The following is a 21,374-nucleotide window of genomic DNA, read 5'->3' as shown; positions in this document are numbered from 1 at the left end:
TCTCAATCTCTTGACCTCGTGATCCTCCTATCTTGGCCTCCCAAAGTGCTGGGATTACAGGCGTGAGCCCCTGTGCCTAGCCTGCCTCAGAACATTTGTGTTTGGCCAGTTGTCTCGGGACTTCTCAGAAGACCCCTCCTTGGGCCTTCTAGTGACTTCCCTGATTTCCCTGATGTGAAGGCAAGAGGCCTTCAGAGCTGAGTGACTAGCAGTGTTATGGGAAACACAGGCACGTCCCTAGCCTCCTGGGTCTCGTCTCCTGCTGAGGGTCTACATCTGGTCCTCACCATCGCAAATCCCGGCCTCCAGCCAGCAGCAGGCAGGGTTGAGCTGCCCCTGGTGACAGGCTGCTACTTCTCGGGGCTCCTGGCATTACTTGGGGACTGCACGGGGATGCGCTGGGGGTTATCTGAAAGTTCACTTGACCTGGCGTCCTGTATTTTTATGAATGTGGCCCCCACCCAGGGCTGCACCCAGTGGGCAGTGCTTACCTCGGTGGGCAGGCCTGCGGGCAGTGCTTACCTCGGTGGCTGTCCACAGGGATCTCTGGACCTGGAGCTGGCAGCTCACCTTCATCCCAGGGCAGCACATCCTCTGCACCTCCATGAGGCCCTTCTCTGTGTTCACCACCGTGTAGTTCCTGTAAGTGGCAGAAACTGTGCTGTCAGTGCCCGGGGGCCAGGGGCTGCCTCCTTTCCCTGAGCCTGGCCTGCCAGCTGCGAGCCTCGTCTACCTCCCCTGCTCCCACCCAGGGTTGCATCCTGTGTTCTGAGAGGGCAGAGCCGGGTTCTGCCCGAAGGGTAATGCTTGACCGTCGCCCGCAGGAAGGGCATTCGCCAGAGAAGAAAGGCTGTCCTCTTTCCGTGACCCCTCAGGGTTGAGACGGTTGCCCCCAGTACGAAGGAGGGGCCCTCCCGCCGGCCATATCCTGCCCGCCCCTGTTATGCGGGGAGCTCCTCACTGTAGAGTAGACAAAGCCAGGGCTAAAGACAAGTTGGGAGAATTCCAGAGGAGATTGGGTTGGGGCGGGGGGGCACTCAAAATGTGCTCCCAGCACGAGTGCTCTGAGAACTAATGGCTTGTCATTTGCGAGAGCCTTGGCTCACCAGGCCGGCTGTCCCCGGCATCGCTGTCTCCCCTCAGGCTGTGGCGGGCATCCTGAGCACTCACTGCATGGCAGAGGAGGCTGAAGCTGATGGGGCTGGGAAGTTATGTACCCCGCATCACGCAGCTCTGTCCCTCAGACTCAAGAGAATATGTTAAGCTCGCGGATAGCAGTTCTCAATATAAAGTTTCTCCTGCCACCAAATTTTAAAAAGCTGTTGACTGATAACGTATTTGCAGATGATAGAAATGGTAGAAAATACAGCAAACAAAAACTTCCTTCAGGTGTATTTGTCTCCTTTTCCCATCATTTTTTTATGCATCAGAAAAACAAAACTAAGATATTTGAATAGCTTTTACTTTGAAAACAAACAGTTAAAAATATAGAGAGTCATAAAGAATAATTGCCCCTGTTCCCTGCAACTGGAATTGTGTCCTAGGCGTATCCTGTTTACCTGCTCGTCTGCCCTGCCTCTCCTGCCTCCTTTCCTTCCTTAATTCTCAGACAGATCTCAAGTCAAGTCCGGTTCCATCCTGGCTCCCCTGCTTGGCTGCCCGTGTGCTCCCAGCCAGCCCCCTCCTCCCTTCCTGTGAGTGAGTCTCTCTTCAGGCCGCAGTGAGTTTTAAAGAACCTTCACAGGTCACAGGAAGAGGCCTCTGTCTTCCCTCTGGGATGAGTCTTCAGAGCCCTGAGCGGAACTGTCTCAGGTACCTGCCGCGTGTGTGTCTCTAGGCCAGCAGGGCAGGGCCCGGCCCAGCCTCCCAGGACCAGTCTGGCCCAAGGTCCTCCAATTCACCCTCAGAAGTCTGACGATGTCCTTGCTTCTAGGGTGGCAGATGTTCCAGGTGCACTCCCTGCCCCGGACCTGGACTCTGCCATGATTCTGATGAGCCCTGGTTCACTTTGGTACTTAGAGACCACAGTCTGGGTCCTAGGGGTGCATATTGGCATTTGGTTGGTCCTTGTTTTTAGGCCTTTTCAGTGAGCAGAACTGAGATATTTGTGTTTATTTTTCAACTATGTCACGAGTCTATCCAATCGATTCAGAACTGCAGGCTTTTACTTACCCGACTTTACATCTCTTTCCCCTTTAGCTCATGTTTCCAGCAACAGCAACATAATTACTCATTAACTGACTCCACAACCACAAGCAGCATCTTAGAGTAACAATCATAACAGTGCTGCCAACAATATAATTACTGAAACCTGTTTAATTAATATGTTTGCTTTTTGTTTTGTCCTTAGAGTACATCCCATCAGGAAGGCGTGCTCCATCGCTGTGTTTTGGAATAACTTCTCTTTTTTTCTGAGGCAGGGTCTCACTCTGTCACCCAGGCTGGAGTGCAGTGGCACAATCACCACCCACTGCAGTGGCAAACTCCTGGGTTCAAGTAATCCTCCTGCCTCAGCCTCCTGAGTAGCAGGGACTACAGGTGCTCGCCACCATTCCCAGCTAATTTTTGTTATTTATTTATTTTTGTAGAGACAAAGTTTCACCATGTTTCCTAGACTGGTCTCAAACTCCTGAACTCAAAAGATCCACCTGCCTCAGCCTCCTAAAGTGCTGGGGTTACAGGCATGAGCCACAAGGCCTGGTCAGAAAAACTTCCTTACAGCATCATTTCTTAGAGTACGTCTGTGTCACAACCCTCAGTCCGAGTGGCATAAAACCTGACGCAAACTCACAAAGACTGACCTAAGAGAAACTGCGAAGTCTGTTCCGTTTATCTTATTATGTCTCAAGCTCATTCCTCACTCTACCCCAGGCATCCTCCCCAAAGGTCACACTCCAGATGCCGTCTTTACTACCGACTGTGCGCCTCCCACCCACCCCACGGCAAGCACGTCTTGTCTGGCCACCGCCTCCTAGTTTTTCGGCTCATCCCACCTGAAACCATAACTCTTGAGTTTTTTTTTTAACTCTGGCAATACCTAGGATCCTTTAGTACTTTGCATTGTGCTCCCTGAATTTGTGGCCTCACTTAGGTTCCTTGGTCCATCTCTGTATCACTCCCTTGAAAACACCCCAATGCCTCTGCCCCTCTCTCCCTTTGGCAAAACCCCAACTCTGTTTAGACGCCCCCCCCCGTTGCCCCTTCTGCAATCTGGGGCAGCAGAACATGCTTGAGAAAGTCACATAACCAGGCCGACAGGCCTCATTTCGTTTTTAAAAATGTTTTAAATTTTCTAATTTTTTAAAAGATGGGGTCTTGCTATGTTGTTCAGGCTAAACTTGAACTCCTGGGCTCAGGTGATTCTCCTGCCTCAGCCTCTGGAGTGGCTAGGACTGTAGGCACATGCCACAGTGCCCTCACGTCCCCAGACACCCTGGCAGATACTACCCATTTTTGGCATCTCTTAACCACAAAACCATACATGCACGTCTCTTTGTGTGGACTTTCTTCTGCTCTCCCTGCTCTTTCTTGAGTGCAGTCTAACCAGGTTCTGGACCCTACCGTCTGCTAAATAATTCTCACTGTGGTCAACATCGACTGTGTTCCCAGATTCCACGGCGGCCTCCCACCCCAAATACAAAGGGGGCAGGGCAGCCCGCAGGAGCTTACCTGGACTCCTCTTTTCCATCCCAAAACACCACGGTGTACTCCTGGCCCTGGGATGAGAAGAAGGCTGTCTGCTTCCCACAGCACAGTTCATACATGAAGGTGGCAAAAGTCGGGTCCTTCATCTGGCTCACCACCGACAGGGCCAGCGGTCGCTGAGGGAGAGAAGCCACCAGAAGAGAGCAAGGTCACTTACAACCGGATTGGTGCCCGTTCTGCCCATGAGATCAGCCAGCCCCAACCAGGGAGGAATGAGGGATTCTGTTCATTCAGACTAGATCCAAACAAGAGGCTGAAACAGCTTCAGACGTCAGGAGCAAACCCATCCAGGTATCTGGGTCACCTTTGGCTACGGCAATTTAAGCTCATCTGGTCAGGTTAGCTGAACCCTGGGTATTCCAACCCAGGCCCAAGGACATACACTCTTCATCTCACTATATTGCCCAAGCTGGAGTGCAGAACCTACTCACAGGTGCGATCAGGGCGCACCATAGCCTAAAACTCCTGGGCTCAAGTGATCCTCCTGCCTCAGCCTCCCCAGTGGCTGGGACTATAAGTCCATGTCACCATGCCCAGATAAGGACATGCGTTCTTCTAAAGAATACCCTGTTTACTCCCCATACATTAAACTAGCTCTGTCTGATTTAATAAATGAGTTTTAACTTTGAAACCACTAGCCTCTTCCAAAAACACAAAAACACCACCGTCAAAAAACTAGCCTGAACACTGTAATATGATCCCTGATTCTCACAACGAAACCTTTTCCCCATCACTTTACAAAGAGACACCCACATTCTCTCTGTTCTTGCATAGGGACTGTATTGTTATAAAGGGGTTTATATACTTTGTTTGCACGGTGAAGTAACACAAAAGTCGGGGAGGAAAAGGAAGTTTGTTTCGTAAGAGTGACACGCACACACAAAGACAATGAAAGTAGGTATGTTAGGAGCAGCAAACATCACCCTCTAGAAGAAATGAGCAGAGAAGGGTTGCCAATGGTGATGGTTGGGCAGCCAGGCACACACCCCCTGGGGACCCACAGCTTCCTCACATGGCAGGAGGTCCCAGGCCCTGGGCTCTGTGTCCCCAAGTACCTTCTCTGGCTTAGTGTCCCAGCACTCCATCATGAGCGCCTGCAGTCGCCGGAACTGCACTTCCTCCGGCTGCCCCAGAACCGGGCGGATGCCCTTGGACAGCTTCTTGGCAATCTGGAGCTGGTGGTGGCCCAGTGCAGGGCGCTGTCCTGACAGCAACTCGTAGAGCACCATTCCATAGGAGAACATATCTACCTGGGCACAGAACAAGCCAAGTCAGGTCGCTGCCTGGGCCCAGTGGCCTTCACAAGGTGGCCCTCAGGTGGAGGGACCAGGGAGACACAATTAGACAAGGAAAACAAACATTCAACAAACCACCTGACCATGTCCCTCTATCCATTTATCCATCCACCTATCTGACCACTTTCTCTTCTATCCATTTATCTATCCATTTTCTCACCCTTCCTTCTTTCCATCCATCCATCCACCCATCCATCCATTTGCTTGTCTTCCTGTACATTTATCCATTCTTCTCATCTGTCCATCCATCTATCCATCCGACCACCTGTCCTGCACATTTATCCATCTGTCTTCCTATCCTTCCTCTTTTCCATCCACCCATCCATCTGACTTCCCACCATATTGTCCATTTGCCCATTGTCCCATCCATCCATCTATCCATCGATCCATCCTTCCATCCAATAAAACACACTGAGAACTTGCTGTTAGTCACTGATTAAGGACTCCAAGGATGTCATGGTCCTTATTCTTGAGTACCAAGACAAGGCAGGAAAACACACACCCTCAGCTTAATGTGCTTGGTACTAAAAGTGTTATGTATTGCAACTCATAAAAAAAGGAGCGTCTCCTGGATCACAACATGTTGTCTCCTCTAATTTTCATAATCAAAAAGGTCCAGCAAGGAAAAATTTATACAGACCCCTATAAGGGTCAAGAAATAACATTTTAGCAGGAGAATGACTGAGATAGATAGACTTGAGAATTTTTAATGTGAATGTTTCCATGATAATCTGAGTTTCAAGGTGACCTCCTTGTTGAAGTCAGCTACTATTATGAAGCTCTTATTTTTGTTGCTCTGATTTGCCTTTTCTATGGGCAACAACCACAGGTGCTGAGCTAATCCATACATGCACAGGTCATTCCTACAGGAATTAGTCAATGACCATCTGTAGAATCACCAGATAATAAGAAATTATAGACAAGGGAATTTTAATGCTGGGTGATCAATTAACAAGGCTGGCACTAGATGTAATACATGCGTGGTAAGATGACTTCAAGTTGTGTGTGTGCCTGCATCTACCAAGTAGCCATCAGGGATAAATGTTATCAGAAGATCAACATTTAGTCATTGTCTCAACTGAGGCTGGCAGTGCAGTTGCCAGGGGATGCCAGCTTGCTCTTTCACTCTTCTCCTGGTTTGGCATTCAACTTGGCCAGCACCCTGTGGCCGGGACTTAAGGCCAAGGGTCTTTACCGTCCTTATTCTGTCTGCTCCTCCTGAGTGCCCTGCAAGGCTGGTCCTGTGTCCTCACTGTGGACATCTAAATGTGAGTTGGAGCCCAAATCCAGACCTGTTTCTCTCTTGGACTCTTCATCTGCTGTTTACAGCCTCTACAATGTTACTGAATCAAGGTCTGAGAAGGCTGATGCTAAGGAGAAGTCAACTTTGCTACAAGCAGACAGACACAGGCCCCTGCACCCTTCTGGTTCAAGCCAGAACCTCCCTCATTGAGCAAGGGAGAGTGAGAAAAATGTGCTTTTGGGGATGCTGAGCCCCGAAGCTTCAGGTGCCTCCAGGACTGCCCGGCTAGCCTGAGGGCTGGGCTCCTACACTGTGGGGCTGGGCCAGGGGATCCAGGCACGTACCTTCTCATCATATACAATGCGAGGCCTGATCTCTGGGGCCTGGTAGCCAGGAGTGCCCTCCACGCCTAGGGCGCCCTCATGGAATGACTGCCTCGAAATCCCGTAGTCAGATAGCTTGATGTTGATGTGCTCCTTGACGTCAAGGGACCACACCAGAATGTTGTCCGACTTCAGGTCACAGAAGATGATGTTTTTCTTGTGCAGGTAGGCCAGGCCCGAGGCGATCTGGTAGGCTATTTTTTGGGTGAGCATGTGTCCCAGGGGTATAAAGGAAGAATCTTGCAAAGAAAAACAATTTTCAAATGTATCAAAATTTCAGTTTTGATAGAATCAAATTATCATGATAACAACTGTCTTTTTGTCTTCCGATCTCCCTAGATACTTTATGATTTTTTTTCTTTTTTCTTTTATTGAGACAGAGTCTCCCTCTATCACCCAGGCTGGAGTGCAGTGGCATGGTCTTGGCTCACTGCAACCTCTGCCTCCAGGGTTCAAGCAGTTCTCCTGCCTCAGCCTCCCAAGTTGAGTAGCTAGGACTATAGGCGCGTGCCACCATGCCTGGCTAATTTTCGTATTTTTAGTAGACATGGGGTTTCACCATGTTGGCCAGGCTGGTCTTGAATTCCTGGCTTTAAGCGACCTGCCCGCCTGGGCCTCCCAAAGTGTTGGGATTACACATGTGAGCCACTGCGCCTGGCCCTTAGATACTTTATATTCCATTGACACATTCTCACTATTCACCAGACTGCCATAAAGGACAGAGAATGGCCTGGTTAAGTGAAACAGTATTTAGGATAGAAATGCTCATCGCTGTAGCTTCATTCCTGATATCTTATTCCTGGAATTGCTGGCATTTTGCTGAATGAGCAAGGGTTCGAAATCTCTAGAGTTCACCTCAGGTCAAGGCTGTCCTACGTAAAGGGGTGAGAGGCAAGTAGAAGCATTTTGTTTGGCTGGGCGTGTGGCTCATGCCGGTGATTCCAGCACTTTGGGAGGCTAAAGTGGGGGGATCGACTGAGCTCACAGTTCGAGAACGACCTGGGCAACAGGGTGAAAGGCCATCTCTACAAACAACAACAACAAATTAGCTGGGTGTGGTGGCGTGTGCTTGTAGCTACTCGGGAAGTTGCGGTGGGAGGATGGCTTGAGTTCAGGAGGTCAAAGCTGCAGTGAGCTGAGATTGCACCACTGTCCTCCAGCCTGGCCAACAAAGTGAGATCCTGTATTAAAAAAAAGTAAAGAATTCTGTTTAAAAAATTATCTTCCATTGAGGCAGAAGTGATTGATTTTCATAGCATTTCTTCTTCCTTAGTCAAAAGACAGCTACCTTTCACCCTCTGGCCACTCTGGAGTTTAGCTGCTCTTTTCTCAAGGTAAATTACTTCGACATTTTATGTTAAAATATGGTCCCACTGACCCTGCGGTCTCAGAGTCTCAGCAGCCGTGTACGTGTGCAGTTGGGAAAGTGATTCAATGCAGCTCCCGTGCTCGGTGCCCTCCCAGCGAGGCCTGTTACCATCCTCCTTTTACAGGCAAATAAACTCAGCGGCTTTCCGGACCGCGGCAGAGCCTGGTCTTAGCCGACTCCAGAGTGTGCGCTCCCCCGTCCTCGCCAAGGCTCTGCCTAGTGACTGGACCTGGCGGGGAGCCTGGCCTCGCAGCCAGGGGATGGTCACACGAGCCATGGGTTGGGCGTGCCCTGGGCTTGCCAAGGCCACCTGAGGCTCTACCCCCCGTGCCAGGCAGGAGGCGCCCGGGGCTCTGTCGGTCTCCGGGGCCGGGTGGGGCGGCGCGCCGCGGTACCTCTGGCGTTCTCGGACAGCACGGTGTTGAGGCTGCTGAGCGGCGCGAGCTCCAGGGCGAAGCAGAGCGGGTGGATGCTGATGCCGATGAGCGCCACGATGCAGGGGTGCTGCAGCGCGTGCAGCATGCTGGCCTCCTGCCGGAACTCGGAGAAGTTCTTCATGGCATCGGTGGCCCGCAGGTGCCTCAGCATGGTGTCTGCCAGGGACAGCGCAGTGTCAGCCAGTAGGACATGGGGTGCCTGCAGCCTCAGGCCTCTCTAAGGCCGCACAGAGCTTAGACCCGGGCAGCATATGTCTGAGAAAAACAGCACCAACCTGGGACCCGCTTACCTGCCGGTACGTTAGCAAAGTTCTTGAATTTTTTGATGTGGAAGCGCTTGACGGCCACAGGCTGGCCCTGGTACCGGGCCCGGTAGATGACGGTGCCACTGCCGCCCTGGCCCAGGACGCTGCCCTCGTCCTCGCTGTGCTCCAGCTTGCTGTTCTCCAGGAAGAGCCTGCCACACACGCCCGGCATCAGCCACATCCCCCCCGCCCTGATGCGGGTGGGTCCTGGGCTGGGTCATTTGCCCCAACGGCCGAGAGTCATGGTTCAAAGCCATCTGTGAGGCTGGACAGATCTGGGCCACCCCGGCCCTGCCACTTGTGGGTGAGCACACCTGGGTAGGTTATGCAGGCTTGCTAAGCCTCAGTCTCCTCTGTACAGAGGGCTCTCAGGACAGGAACGGCCTCAGAGGTGGTGATGGCTGGCACAGGGTGAACCCCACAGAAGTGGTGGCCGTAGAGAAAGGACCCCTTTGGAAGTTTTCTTCTGAAAGGTGACGTTTCCTATTTCCTCCCCGATTCTCTCTCTAGTTATGATCTTGGGTTAGCATAGGTACAATAAACTCTAAGAACAGATTTGAGGGGTCCAAGGCTCAGCGCTAGGGCTACAGACAGGAGTCAGCGTTTGACAAAGAAGGTAAACGAGGCTCTGGGTGGGAGCTCAGCGCTAGGGCTACAGACAGGAGTCAGCGTTTGACAAAGAAGGTAAACAAGGCTCTGGGTGGGAGCTCTCCCTTCTCTCCCCTTCCTGAATGCTTGAGGAGCACTGGCTGCACTTATCTGCTGGCCCTAGAGCTGGTGGGGAGGTAGGAGTGGAAAGGAGAGGCAGCTCAGGAGAGAGCAGCTCTGGCTACGAGGGGAAGGGGGAGCCGTATGGGGAGGCAGGATGGCTGCACTTGCAAAGCACTCTTCCCAGTTGGGCCTATCAAGGCCTCCAAAATGGAAAGCCGGCAGCCTGGTTCCTTTCAGGCAGCCGAGGATGGGAACCTAAAAGGTACTGAGATTGGTGGGAAGCCATGGCCGGGGCACCTGCCCGCCCCAGAGGGGTCTTCCTGGAGATCACTCGGCAACTGCACAGCGAGGAACGCCCCCTGTGACCTGCACTGTGTTCTGGGAGGGGCCTTCGGGGCATACCTGGCCGGGAAGTCGGTCATGAACAGTTCAGGGACCAGCTCCTGCAGCGGCACGGGGAGGTCCGGGTGTCTGGGGCAGGAGATGAAGTCCCGCTCGATGGCCGTCAGGACACAGTCTTCCATGTCGAAGTACTGCACATCCTCTGATTTCTCACTGGGGTCCGTGTGCTGGGCCCAGGCTGTCTCGCAGACCGGGCAGGGCACGTACTGCTCCATGAGTGGCGTCCCGTCGCTCTCTGTGGCTGTCAGGGCTAAATAAGGACAGAGCAGGAGACAGCTTCACAAGAAGGTGGTGCAGGAGGGCCCCCCGAGCAGCACTCTGCACCCCAGGCCCTGAGGCCTTCGCAGCAGGGGAGCTGCCTGTCCTGGCCTGTACCCAAGAGACAGGCTGAAACCCACTGCCACATTCGGGTGCCTTTTTGGAGAGCGCAATTGTTTGTCCTGAAAGATGTGTCCAGGGAGGGTTCAGGATGCTTCCGAGAACTGTCCAGTGGTCGGGACACTGAGCAGGCTGGCTGGGGGGCCTGAGAGGAGTGGGGGGATCCCTCCTGCATGACTGGGCCCTAACAGGTCATCGCAGACTAGGTGTGAGCTATCCTCCAACCATCACGGCAGTGGGGAAGGCACCCTTCTTACAATTAGAAACATCAGGTTTACAATGTCCATGAAGGGCAATGCAGGGGCAGAAATGAGTGCAAATTATCATAGACGAAACTCAGTCACCGGACACGGGATTCCCCCACGCCTCTGAGAGGAGGTGCAGAGAAACACCCTCCAAGATGCCCTGTGGAGGTGCCCTCAGGGCCGGCCAACTGCCTGCTTCATGCAAGGTAGGAGGTGGATGCCTAGAACTTTCCAGGCACATCTGATATCTGCAGGTCCATGTGTAAGGCATCCCGTTGGGAGGGGCCCCTGGCTGGGGATGCTGGCTCCAGGCGATCTGTCTCAGGTGCTCACCAGAGCCCTTTCCATCTCAGGTGACTGTCTAAGGGACCCACCTGTCAAACTGCCCAGCACCTGCTGTGTGGGGAACACTGGCTGGTGGGGAGCTGCAAAGTGCCCAGAAGGGTTCACATGGGCCTAAGGGCCCCCTTAGACAGCCAAGTGCCTCCCAAATCACCATGACACGCACACCCAGCTGACTTCTCCGAGGGCTCCTTTCTAAGCCTTTTTTCCTTGTAGGTCACCCTTCCTGCCAACAGTGTGAAGGACCCCAACCCTGACAGAGACCAGACCCTGGGATCTGGAATGTGTATCCTGAGTGCATTCTGCCACTGCCTCTTAGCCACCTTCCCTGATGCTGTCTGGGATGCAGGCATTGCATGCAGGTGAGGCCGGCCCAGGAGGCCGGGGGACCAGCCGAGGCTTGCAGGGGTGGCACTGGAATTCCAAACCCGCTCTCCCACAGCTGCTTGGCCTCCAGCGTTCAGGGGCTGAGGCTCTCGGGCAGCCTGTCCCACAGCTGCTTGGCCTCCAGCGTTCAGGGCTGAAGCTCTCAGGGCAGCCCCTCCCACAGCTGCTTGCCCCATTAAACCCCAGATGGCCTCCCCCTGGCAGGCTGCTCTGGGAGTCGTCTCCACCCCAGGAGCAAAACAAACAGGAGGCCTCAGGAACTTCACTCAAAGAGTACTTTTTTTGGGTGAACTATCAATGAAGAAACAGATCCAAAGGGTCTGAGAAGGGCGGTGTTAGTGGTTTGATCACCGCCGGGATGGGTGGGGTGGCAGGGGAGGAGAGCAAGGCCCCTTGGCTGCCACGGCTCCCCTCCATCCCTGCCCCTGCGCAGGGGATAAATTTCCATCTGCCGGCTCCCCTGCAATTTCAGCCACACAGTCCTCACTATGAAAACAAGACACGTGTGAGCTCACACTGAGCATCTCCGTGGACCACTCGTGGTACCAGTGTCATCTTTCTTGCCACGCCTGTGGGCAGCTGGCAGGCCGCTTCCCTGCACATTCCCAGTGGTGTCCGAGCCCAGTCCTCCCCGTGGGACTCCCCCCAGTGACAGAGCTGGACTTCTCGGGGGCCAGGACTCCCACCAAAGTGCTGTTAAGACCCCCTAGTTTTCTTGGGCTGAATCCCAGTGGGATTTTTGTCCACCCCGAAAGCAGCAGCCCCACCCTGATTCATAAGAAATATTAGCATGAATGAGGGCTTGCTTCTAGCATCTCCTCTTACCGGGAAACCACTGATCAATCAAGGAATTGACGTGGTCCGTGATGAAAGCCATGGCTGAGAAGTCCCTCACTTCTGATTGGCAAACAATTTTCATTCCTCCGCTTTTCTTCTTTTTCCAGTTCACGTCGGAAGATTCCACACTGCAATCCAGAGACCAAAAGGAGCCCATTGCGATCTGGCTCTGGGGGACCCTGGGATGATATCCCTACCCCCAGGGACAGGAACCAACCCCCGGGGACCTGGAGAGACTCTGTGCCCTGCAGGACCGATGGGGGACTCCTCCCTGTATGTACGTGTGCGTGGCCCTGCCTTGTTCTTGCCCCGGACCTGGCCTGGTGAAGGAGGCACGAGGAAGATTGCAGTCAGGGACGCTCAGCCTGGGAGCTGACCCTCAGGTGAGGCCCTAAGGAAGTTCCCAGACCTCCCTGAACCTCAGTATGCTCATCTGTCCAGCAGCAACCCTGGGCCTTAAGTGAGAACATCTATGCGGAAGAGGCAGGTGCCAATCAAGCCCTCTGTAAAGTTACCTCCCCTTTTCCCTTCTTCTCCTCTCACAGAGCTGAAGAATATTTTGCAAAGTTCATTGTAAACATTAAAATAATCTTGGGTGTTTATCATTCGTTAAACCTGTTGGGCTGACTTTAGGTCTACCGCTCTCAAAAAACCAAGAATAAATGGCACAGGGAGCTGAGTTCCGTGTCTGGTTATGGGCAGTGGAGATGGGGGCTGAGGAGTCTCAGCATCCCCTGTCCCCAGCCTGGCTTCTCACAGAACAAGGGGACGGGCAGGATGGCTGCAAGGTCACCATGGTGACCTGAATAACCATGGGAAGTGCCTGAGGCTCTCCTGAGCTCAATGGCCGCCACGTCCCTCAAGTCCTCAGCTGTGGCCGCCACATCTGCCTTTGCCTTTCCCGTCCTGCAAGGGGGGCTCAGCAGGGGTGAGGAGACCGGAGCCTCTGGGACACTCGTGGGAGGGCCTCACATTTCTAGCAAGCTGCCATGACGAGCCGCTCTCACGAGCAAAATTCTGGACACCAAGAGGATGAGGCATCCTGCTGACGTGGCCCCGCGGTGGCTGCTGTGGCACCTGCTGACCTGGCAGGTGGGCTTCCAGGTGTTCCTACCTGAGGTAGCCCCCATCAAAAGTGACCAGGAGCCCTTCCTGCCAATAGATGGTCTGATTTCTTTTCACTCTGAATGTGCTACAGCGATTTCTCTGGTTTCCTGTAAAACTGTAAATGGTGACTTTCCTGTTCCTGCTTTTAGTATTCTTCTTGTTTTCAAAAAGCTGAAAGACAGAGAAAAGACCCTGCTTAAGTATTCTGGGCTCCTCGCTGGCCCTGGGCAGAGCTCTGCAGAGGCCGGGCTGGGCCCCATCTTGATAAATGTCCCCCATCTTTCCCACCCTCTCCTCCCACGCTGCTCATCCCTGCTGCCAAATTGAACGTTACATTAGCTGACGGGGTCTCCAGGGAATTCCGGAAACACAGTTTTTCCAAAGAATTGAAAAATAGGCTTTCCTTTAAAATTTTTTTCCCTTTCTGACTTTACAAGCAAAAATTCATATTAGAAAATGTAGAAAATACAGAAAAATGTAAGAGGGAAAACAAAACACCAATTTAACACCAAGCAGAGAGATCATTCAGATTTTGGTATATATTATTCCAGGATTTTTTTTTTTTCTATCTCCATATGTTTGTGAAAAACAGCTGAAGCCATATTGGATTTCTAATTTCGTATATGTTAAAAAACCCCACCTTTCCTATGCCATTAAAAACACACATAAAATTCATTTTTCTAAAGTTTAATATTCTATTAAGCATAGTAATTTCCTGAACCACTCTCTTCTGGAAGTGTAAGTTGGTGCCAATCTTTTGCTCCCTCAAAACCACCTTGAGTTACATGAGAAAGGCACAGAGCTTTCTCTGATTGAAAATGATGTCCTCAGTTTAGATGTTTACCAGTCGGATTATTGGTCGAAGGGTCTGATCGTTTTAAAGCTCTGGATGTATCCCGAGGAATCGCTTCTCGAACGACGAGACTGTCCTGTGCGCTGACTACCAGTGTGCGCGGGGCCGCTCCGTGCCCCGGGCTGGGGATTACGGCTCAGCTTTTTGCTAATGTGATGGATGAAAACTGGCATCTCACTGCTGCTTGAATTTGCATGCCTTTGATGAGTGATGAGACTGCACTCTTTTCCCCCTCCTGTCACCCATCTGAATTTCAATAGGACTTCTTTCCTAACTTCGAGTGAGGGAAGCTGCTGCCCGGAAGGGCGCCCTGGCCTCCAGGCCCAGCTGGGCCCCACTTGTCAGCTCAGCCTCCCACGATGCTAGTGCTCCATGACCCTCCCTTGAGAAGACAGCGGCACACAGAGTTCAAAGGGAGGGCAGAGGAATGGGAACGTAGGAGCACCAGCGCCTGCGCCCACTCCTTCAATCAGTGCACCCTTCTGGCGCTATTAACCCATCTCCCTCCCCGCTAGCACAGGCTGCTACTGTCACGATGGACTTTAAGGCTTTTGCATTGATTTTTTTCTTACCATTTCGGTAAAAATGGGAAGATCAAAGAACATTTTTATAGAGCTAAGAAGTTATAATTCAATAAGGGCTTTCTAATTAGGATGTAGCAACAGTAAACTCATACGGAGTTTAATGTCAAGGATTTGACAGTCAGGGATTATGCCAGAGGTTCGCAAAACCAAAAGTGTGTCAGAATCCCCTGGAGGGTTGTGAAAACCAGTGCGGGGTTCCCCCTGGAGTTTCTCATGCAGTGGGTTTGAGGTGGGGCCTGAGAACGTGTGTTCCTCACACGTTCCCAGGTGAGGCTGATTTTGCTGGTATAGGAACCCCACTTTGAAAAACACCACTGTAGCAAATGTTGCTTCCATGTTCCTGCCCTGCATGAAATTAATGTTGTCTGACAGCGGGGACGCCTTCCTGTAACCCCAGGTAAACCCACAGAAGCTAACTCCTTGGGCGGGGGGTCTCCCGTGTTACCAGAACCAACGTACAGTTCTGCACAAGTGGTTCTCAAACTGGACTGCACAGGGGACTCGCCTGGGAGCCTTAAAAATACCAAAGAGGAATCACTTTTTCAAATGATGCCACACTCAAAGACCCTGATTCAATCGGTCTGGAGTGTGGTCTGTGTCTTTTAGAATTTCCTCCAGGCGAGTCTAGCGTGCAGCCAGGACGGCAAAACCGTGCTTCTAACTTCACGGTTCTCCAAGTGTGGTTGCTGGGCCGGCGGCATCACCTCGGGGAATGGATAGAAATGTGAATTCTTGGCCTCAGTCCACACCTACTGAATCAGAACCTCGGGTGGGGCCACCAAACTGTGTTCTAACAAACTCCAGGTGGTTTTGAGGTGGGCTAACACTGAGAACCACTGTTTATAAAGGGCGTGTTCTGTCTAAGGAGGGTGCTGCTTTGGAACTCCCAGGATGGCTTCAGTGGGTTGGCCAGCAGCCCATGCCACACCTGCCCCCTGGCACTACATTGGTGGCATGGCTCTAGGAGAAGGGTCTCCAGGCAGGGCCCCCCAGCAAAGGGCATTCCCCTCCCCCAGTGGTACAACTGTAGGTGGCTCTCGGGCATCTGTCTATGCAGAAACCGCAGCCATAATACCTGCAGGTCCATCTCCGCCAGGCTGATCAGCATCCGTGCTATAAACCTTTGCCAGAAGCCAACGGGAACGAAGCTCATCTTAAATACCCTCTGAATGGTGTTGGCTGTGGGGTGCCGCATACCGTGGGTGTCCAGGCCAGGTTTAGATGGAAGGAGATGGGGCAGGAGGTAGCTGAAACACACCAAGGGGGACTGGTGAACAGTGGGGCCCAAGCTCCACTGCAGGGCCCTGACCCCAGCAGATGGCCTGATCTGGGGACAGGCTGTGCTGGAACACCTCAGGCTGCTGGGTTCCTTCCTCCCAGGGCCTTTGGAATTCTGTTATTAGTAAGAGAAGCGTGGTTTATATGCTAAGAATAAATACTCCAAAGGAAAATGAAGACTGGTCCCATTAATATGAGTCTATCATGGTTTCTAAGATACTAGAATAAGGCTAAGGGAAGACATGAAAACATCATGGTCCTAAAAATGTCAGACACAGCAAATGGGACTCAATTCTCTATAAACGGGGTTGCAGTTGGGGAAATAACATTAACTTTGGTTGATGAAGGAAAAACAAACACAGCTGCAAGGTTTCAAGGACAATGCAGATATTAGGGTCAGAGTAACATTTTTGGCCTTTAAAGCTATTTATTATTCTTGGCCCGTTGACACGACGCGATTGCCTTAAAAGTTAGAATAGGCCTGTTTTGTGCGGAAGAGGGATGTTTTACGAGAACACTCTCGGTCATCATAAAAATGCTGCATCATTGCATCGGCAAGGGCTTCACGGCTGAAACCTGGGAGGTCCCTCCAAAAGGGTGCCCGAAAACCAGCAACGGCTGCATCCTGTGGGGCTGCGGGGGCAGGCACTGGACAGGTACAGGACGGCCCCTGGTGTGCAGATGCTGCACTCCTTCCCAATAAAGGTTTTACCTTCAGCTCTCCTAATCTTAAATCTATTTCAGTCCAATAAATGTCCTTAGAACTTTCTGGAAAAGACTCCCTAAACTGTAAGAAAATTCAGTGACAGCCCATGGCCCGAGCATACAGGCGCAAGTCTCGGCTCTCACTTACACGCTCTGACACATGGGTATACAATGGGGAGAGAAAGGATCCCCTCTTGGCAGGGCTGGTGAAGGTAGACGGGGGCTGTGCAGATGACACAGCAGACACAGGTGGTGAAGCAGGAGGCCTTTTCAGCCTTTCAGGTCTTGAGTGAAAGGACATTCCCAACCTCTCGCTAGATGCCTCTTCATCAGAGTGTCCTGTCTTATTCCTTTACATCTGAAAAGTCCTTGCTTCTCTATCTGCTCAGTGTTTGTTCCCCATACAGGAGGCCCTGGGCCGTGCCTGCTGTTTCTTTCTGCTTTTTCTACTTCATCTCATGCATCCTGGGTCTCTCATGTGGCCCTCTTACAGTGGTGGTGCCCCATGTCTGTCTTGCTCTTCTCCTTGTCGGAGTGTGCTTAGAGAGTGGGGGGAGCATTCTCTGTCCCCAGGCGTCCCAGCACGATGTGCGGTGGCACACAGAAGAGGTGCTCCATGATGTTTTTGAGGGCAGAGGTTTAGAAGGTGACATGGCAAATAAAGAGATCCTGAGTGGCCACAGAAGCCAGTTCTCAAGGGAAGCAGTGGTCTCCAGGTAGTGGAGGCCGCTGGCTCCGGGTTTCAGAGCAATTACGAGCTGGGAAAGGCCGTCCCAGGGAATGACCAGTGAGTCGGCAGGACAGGTCCTAAGAGGTAAATTCTTCATGTGTTTGATGAACGTAAAGCAGTGAAACCCTGGCAGGGCACAGTGTCTGCACGGAGGTGCTGGCTCATGCCACCCCACTGAGACAGCCTCAGACAGGGGCCGCAGCCCTTCTCAGAGTCTGCTGAGAGGCAAGGACCTTCCTCCTGAAAGAAGCACAAAGGCTTAAAACTGTATGGTACTTCCAGGGAGTTCATGGAGATTTTCTGAGGGGCTGGAGGGGTTCACTGCAGGTGGGAAACCATGCTCTGAGAGGAGCCGCAAATGTGTCTGTTTGCACAGATCCAGGGATCCCAGCAGCCTTAGAAAGCTGATGATGCCAGGAGCGGGGACTTGCCTGGGGCTCAAGGGAACCATTATGCCTGTGCTGAGATGAAACGTGTCCCACTATTCCTGGATGTGTACAGAACCCGACACCATGGCTATGAGTACCTACCACGAAGAAACAGTAACAATAACTGGACTGTCAATACTGGATGTCTTGGGAGCTTAAGAGACACTGTTCTGAGTATTTTACATGTATTTGTCAGTGGCTGTTCCCATGCAGGAGGCCCTGGGACATGCCTGCTACTGTTTCTTTCTGCTGGTCTGAATATTTTACATGTATTATCTAATTTAATCCTCACAACAACTATCATACTTATGGTAATTATATTATACCCATTATGCAGACGAGAAAGAAGGTAGTTGGGATTCATACTTGTGCGTCCCAACTTCATATTCTAACCTGCTGTGCCATAAGCCTTGGTGAGGACCTGGCCGTGATCACACTGATGGTCTTGTTCAGGCCAACACACACACACACACACATTATAAATACGTGTACGTTTTATACATATAAAAACTGACTTCATATAGATAACTGACTTTCTTTTACTGAGTACTCGTATCTCCTCACTCCTCTAACCTGCGATAAAACAATCTGAAAGTTGTCAGATCCGGCAATGTTGTAAACACACAGGCTGCCTTACTCTGAACGTTCTCATGGACCAAAGTTAAGGACACCGCTGGGCCATGTTATGAGGGGCTGTGGAATTTTGAATTCCTCTTTGGGGTTTTATTTTGTAAGGAACCCAGAGAGCTGGAGCAGCAAGAAAGACTTGAGGCCCCTCCCATACCTAGTGGGAGGTGGGTGGGGCCTCAGGCAAAGGTGGGGCCAGTGGCTGGTTCCCAGGTGGCCGGGTCTCTGGCCTCACTGTGCAGGATCCAGGCCTGCTCCCCAGAAGTCTCCAGGTGACACCCCTGTAGAGATCTGGAGCTGAGGACGCAGAGTGGCGACGTGTTCTCTGGGTGCTGCATGGCAACATTCTGTGGATTTGGATCCTGTGGATTTGGATCCTGGATACAGCTTCATTGCCAATATCAGCATCAAACCCAGGAAGCGGCTGATATGGAAACTAGTACTCAGAGGCCTGAGGACCAAGCTGGTTTAGGGCAGAGCATCATGGCAGGTCTCACCCCTCGTGTGCTCCCCCAGCCTGGCCCTCGTAGGGGTCCCACCCCGAGGGGAGGCGTTCAGTTCAGCTACTTCAGAAGATATATCCTGGCAATGGGTAGCACAGAGGAGAGTAGGAGGAAAGAAGAAGCCAACACTACACTTGGTTTTGATGAAAACCAAGCCTCAAAAGTGAGAATTTGAAGGAAGAAAAGTTAAGTAATAGCTCATAAAGAGTCTGCACAAATCCCCCGACAAGAGCACCCTGCTTGTAAGGATAGGGGGCCTCACTCCCTCTCCCCTGCCTTCCATGGGCCAAATGCCAGGGCCAGAGCACATGCTGTGGGGAGGCAGAGAAGTGTGCTGCCCAATGCTCAAGGGCTGACAGCATAACTGAGGGTCCGGGCAGGTGGGTAAGAGGTAACAAGTAGGGGAGTGTAAGGGCAGTAAAAGCCACAGGAGGATGGTGGCAGAGCTCTCGGAGGGGCAGTAGGCTTCTCAGAGGCCCCTGGGCTGCAGCAGAGCAGGTGGCTGGGCATCCTTGATCACATGAGAGGAGGTGGCATGGGGTCAGAGGTCCTCAGCGAGGGGTCAGGGGTGACGAAGACTGAGGAGGACCCCTGTCTGCCCAGAAGACAATGGGGTGACACCTTTAAAAAGACTGACAGAAAAATGACCCAGAATTCTACATCGAAGAAAATTATCCAGCAAAAAATTAGAGTGTTAATAAAGACATTTTCATATAAACAAAAGTCTTGTCTAAAAAAGAGAATTTGTTTCCATCAGACTTAGACTTTAAGACATGCTACACGTAATTCTTCAGGATGAAAAGAGATTATACCAGATGGAAAGAAGTGAAGAGCACCAGAAACAATCAACATTTTTCCCTTAATTTCTTAAAAGACTATTGATTGTTTAATTATTCAAAGCAAAAGTAATAACACTATATTATGGGGTTCATTACATATATTGTAGTCCTCCCTTATCTGCAGTTTCTTTTTCATGGTTTCAATTACTGGTCCAAAAATATCAAGATATTTAGAAAGAGAGAGAGAGAGACCACATTTATGTAACTTCTGTGACAGTATATCATAATTATACTGTTTTGTTGTTATTGTTGTTAATTTCTATGTGTTGTTAATCACTTACTGGTTTACAATTAAACTTCATCATAGGTATGTAGATAAAGGAAAAGGCATAGTATATGTAGGGCTCAATACTATCGCAGTTTTAGGCATCCACGGGGGTCTGGAAATCCACCAGCTGTGGATAAGGGGGACTACTGTATAGAAGAAACGTGGATGACAGCAAGAGTACAGAGGGTGCTGGGAGGAGTAATGTCCTGGTATCGTGCTAAGGTTTTTGCATTTAATTCAAGGTGGTATAATATTAATTACAAGTAGATTGTGATAAGGTAAGGATGCATATTCTAATCCCAAGAGTAACCACTAAAACACAGTACCAGGAAGAATGGCCAAAAACCCAACAGAGAGCATGAAAATACTAAAATAAAATTTAACTCAAAAGAAGGCAGGAAAGAATGAACAAAATAACAAAATCAGATGGTATAAATACAAAATAAATAGAGAAATAGTAGGCTTAAACCCAACCATATAATTAATTATGATAAATGTGAATGAATCAAATATTCCTATTAAAAGGCAGAGATTATCAGATTGGATAATGTGCTGTCAGCAAGAGATTCCTTTTTTATAGAGATCATAACCTGCTACTAGAAGAATAGGGAAAAAACCCAGGTAGAACTAAAAGAGCTGGTGTGGCTATTTTAACATCAGACAAAATAGACTTCAAGAAAAGGAGTATTACCAGTGATAAAGAGAAACATTGTATAATGAAAAAAGGGTCACTTCATTACACAGGCATGACACCAATGTGTATATGTAACCAATAATGGCTTCAAAATATATAAAATAAAGCCTGTCAGAACTGGAGAGAGAGGTAGACTTATCATTAGATATTTTACCATCTCTCTCTTAGTAATTGATAGAATGAGTAGGAAAAAAATCAGTGAGAATACGGAAGATTTGAACACGTTGTTTACCACTCTGAGCTAATTAAGGTTTATAAGATACTACAGCCACAACACAGAAAACTCGTTTCTTGTGTGCACTCCAGACTTTCACTGGGAAAGATCACACATTGGCCCATAAAATAAGTCTCAGTGAATTTCAAAATACAGAAATCTTAGAATATATTCTCTGACCAAAATAATATAAGATATATTAGAAAATCTTTCGAACTAAATGATAAAAACACAACATAGCAAAATTAGTTGTATTTGTCATATAAAGCAGTGCTTAGAAAGTTATGGCTTTAAATGCTTACATAGAAAATAGGAAAGGCTTAAAATAAATGACCTAAGCTTCTACCTTAAGAAGGAAGAACAAGAAGCACAAATTAAACCCAAAGTTAGCTGAAGGAAGACAATAATAAAGAGCAGTAATAGATGAAATAAAAGAGAAAAATAATAGAAGAAATCAGCAATGGCAACGGTTCGTTCTTTAAAACGGTTCCAAAAATTTGATAAA

At 50.4% G+C, this 21,374-nt stretch overlaps 1 protein-coding gene and 1 long non-coding RNA gene across 9 annotated transcripts in view, besides 6 other annotated features; one reads left to right on the top strand and one right to left on the bottom strand.

The window, feature by feature from the left end:
- Positions 1 to 19,577, top strand: part of LRRK1-AS1 (LRRK1 antisense RNA 1) — a 109,606-nt gene extending 90,029 nt beyond the window's left edge. For 4 of the 8 annotated variants that reach the window (XR_001751724.2, XR_001751723.2, XR_001751721.2 and 1 more), the window contains 2 exons: positions 11,032 to 11,177; positions 12,147 to 12,718. This is a non-coding gene — a long non-coding RNA (LRRK1 antisense RNA 1). Of the gene's footprint in view, positions 1 to 8,885; positions 9,354 to 9,421; positions 11,178 to 12,146; positions 12,719 to 17,672 lie in introns of those variants that run through there. The other 4 variants (XR_001751725.2, XR_001751727.2, XR_001751726.2 and 1 more) reach the window with 3 other exon arrangements.
- Positions 1 to 21,374, bottom strand: part of LRRK1 (leucine rich repeat kinase 1) — a 158,901-nt gene that overhangs the window by 16,447 nt on the left and 121,080 nt on the right. Inside the window, exons 21-30 of the mRNA NM_024652.6 lie at positions 15,659 to 15,830; positions 13,154 to 13,317; positions 12,028 to 12,167; positions 9,851 to 10,100; positions 8,723 to 8,889; positions 8,391 to 8,588; positions 6,588 to 6,865; positions 4,761 to 4,955; positions 3,670 to 3,821; positions 523 to 640 (exon numbers count right to left, since the gene is read on the bottom strand). Of these exons, the coding sequence (NP_078928.3) occupies positions 523 to 640; positions 3,670 to 3,821; positions 4,761 to 4,955; positions 6,588 to 6,865; positions 8,391 to 8,588; positions 8,723 to 8,889; positions 9,851 to 10,100; positions 12,028 to 12,167; positions 13,154 to 13,317; positions 15,659 to 15,830 (1,834 nt within the window). The remainder of the gene's footprint in view (positions 1 to 522; positions 641 to 3,669; positions 3,822 to 4,760; positions 4,956 to 6,587; positions 6,866 to 8,390; positions 8,589 to 8,722; positions 8,890 to 9,850; positions 10,101 to 12,027; positions 12,168 to 13,153; positions 13,318 to 15,658; positions 15,831 to 21,374) is intronic.
- Positions 7,761 to 8,381: an enhancer, noted in NCBI's record as "H3K27ac-H3K4me1 hESC enhancer chr15:101593635-101594255 (GRCh37/hg19 assembly coordinates)". NCBI's record gives its function as "activates a minimal SCP1, AML or CMV promoter by ChIP-STARR-seq in primed H9 embryonic stem cells {active_cell/tissue: H9 hESC(primed)}" and the evidence as "EXISTENCE:reporter gene assay evidence [ECO:0000049][PMID:30033119]".
- Positions 12,570 to 13,093: an enhancer, noted in NCBI's record as "H3K4me1 hESC enhancer chr15:101588923-101589446 (GRCh37/hg19 assembly coordinates)". NCBI's record gives its function as "activates a minimal SCP1, AML or CMV promoter by ChIP-STARR-seq in primed H9 embryonic stem cells {active_cell/tissue: H9 hESC(primed)}" and the evidence as "EXISTENCE:reporter gene assay evidence [ECO:0000049][PMID:30033119]".
- Positions 13,094 to 13,618: an enhancer, noted in NCBI's record as "H3K4me1 hESC enhancer chr15:101588398-101588922 (GRCh37/hg19 assembly coordinates)". NCBI's record gives its function as "activates a minimal SCP1, AML or CMV promoter by ChIP-STARR-seq in primed H9 embryonic stem cells {active_cell/tissue: H9 hESC(primed)}" and the evidence as "EXISTENCE:reporter gene assay evidence [ECO:0000049][PMID:30033119]".
- Positions 13,755 to 14,255: an enhancer, noted in NCBI's record as "NANOG-H3K4me1 hESC enhancer chr15:101587761-101588261 (GRCh37/hg19 assembly coordinates)". NCBI's record gives its function as "activates a minimal SCP1, AML or CMV promoter by ChIP-STARR-seq in naive H9 embryonic stem cells {active_cell/tissue: H9 hESC(naive)}" and the evidence as "EXISTENCE:reporter gene assay evidence [ECO:0000049][PMID:30033119]".
- Positions 14,256 to 14,756: an enhancer, noted in NCBI's record as "NANOG-H3K4me1 hESC enhancer chr15:101587260-101587760 (GRCh37/hg19 assembly coordinates)". NCBI's record gives its function as "activates a minimal SCP1, AML or CMV promoter by ChIP-STARR-seq in naive H9 embryonic stem cells {active_cell/tissue: H9 hESC(naive)}" and the evidence as "EXISTENCE:reporter gene assay evidence [ECO:0000049][PMID:30033119]".
- Positions 15,052 to 15,737: an enhancer, noted in NCBI's record as "H3K4me1 hESC enhancer chr15:101586279-101586964 (GRCh37/hg19 assembly coordinates)". NCBI's record gives its function as "activates a minimal SCP1, AML or CMV promoter by ChIP-STARR-seq in primed H9 embryonic stem cells {active_cell/tissue: H9 hESC(primed)}" and the evidence as "EXISTENCE:reporter gene assay evidence [ECO:0000049][PMID:30033119]".

Source organism: Homo sapiens, chromosome 15, assembly GCF_000001405.40.
Source record: "Homo sapiens chromosome 15, GRCh38.p14 Primary Assembly".
NCBI classification, from domain to species: domain Eukaryota; kingdom Metazoa; phylum Chordata; class Mammalia; order Primates; family Hominidae; genus Homo; species Homo sapiens.
The sequence above is the reverse complement of the archived record's forward strand: the minus strand, read 5'-3'. Positions and strand labels throughout refer to the sequence as shown.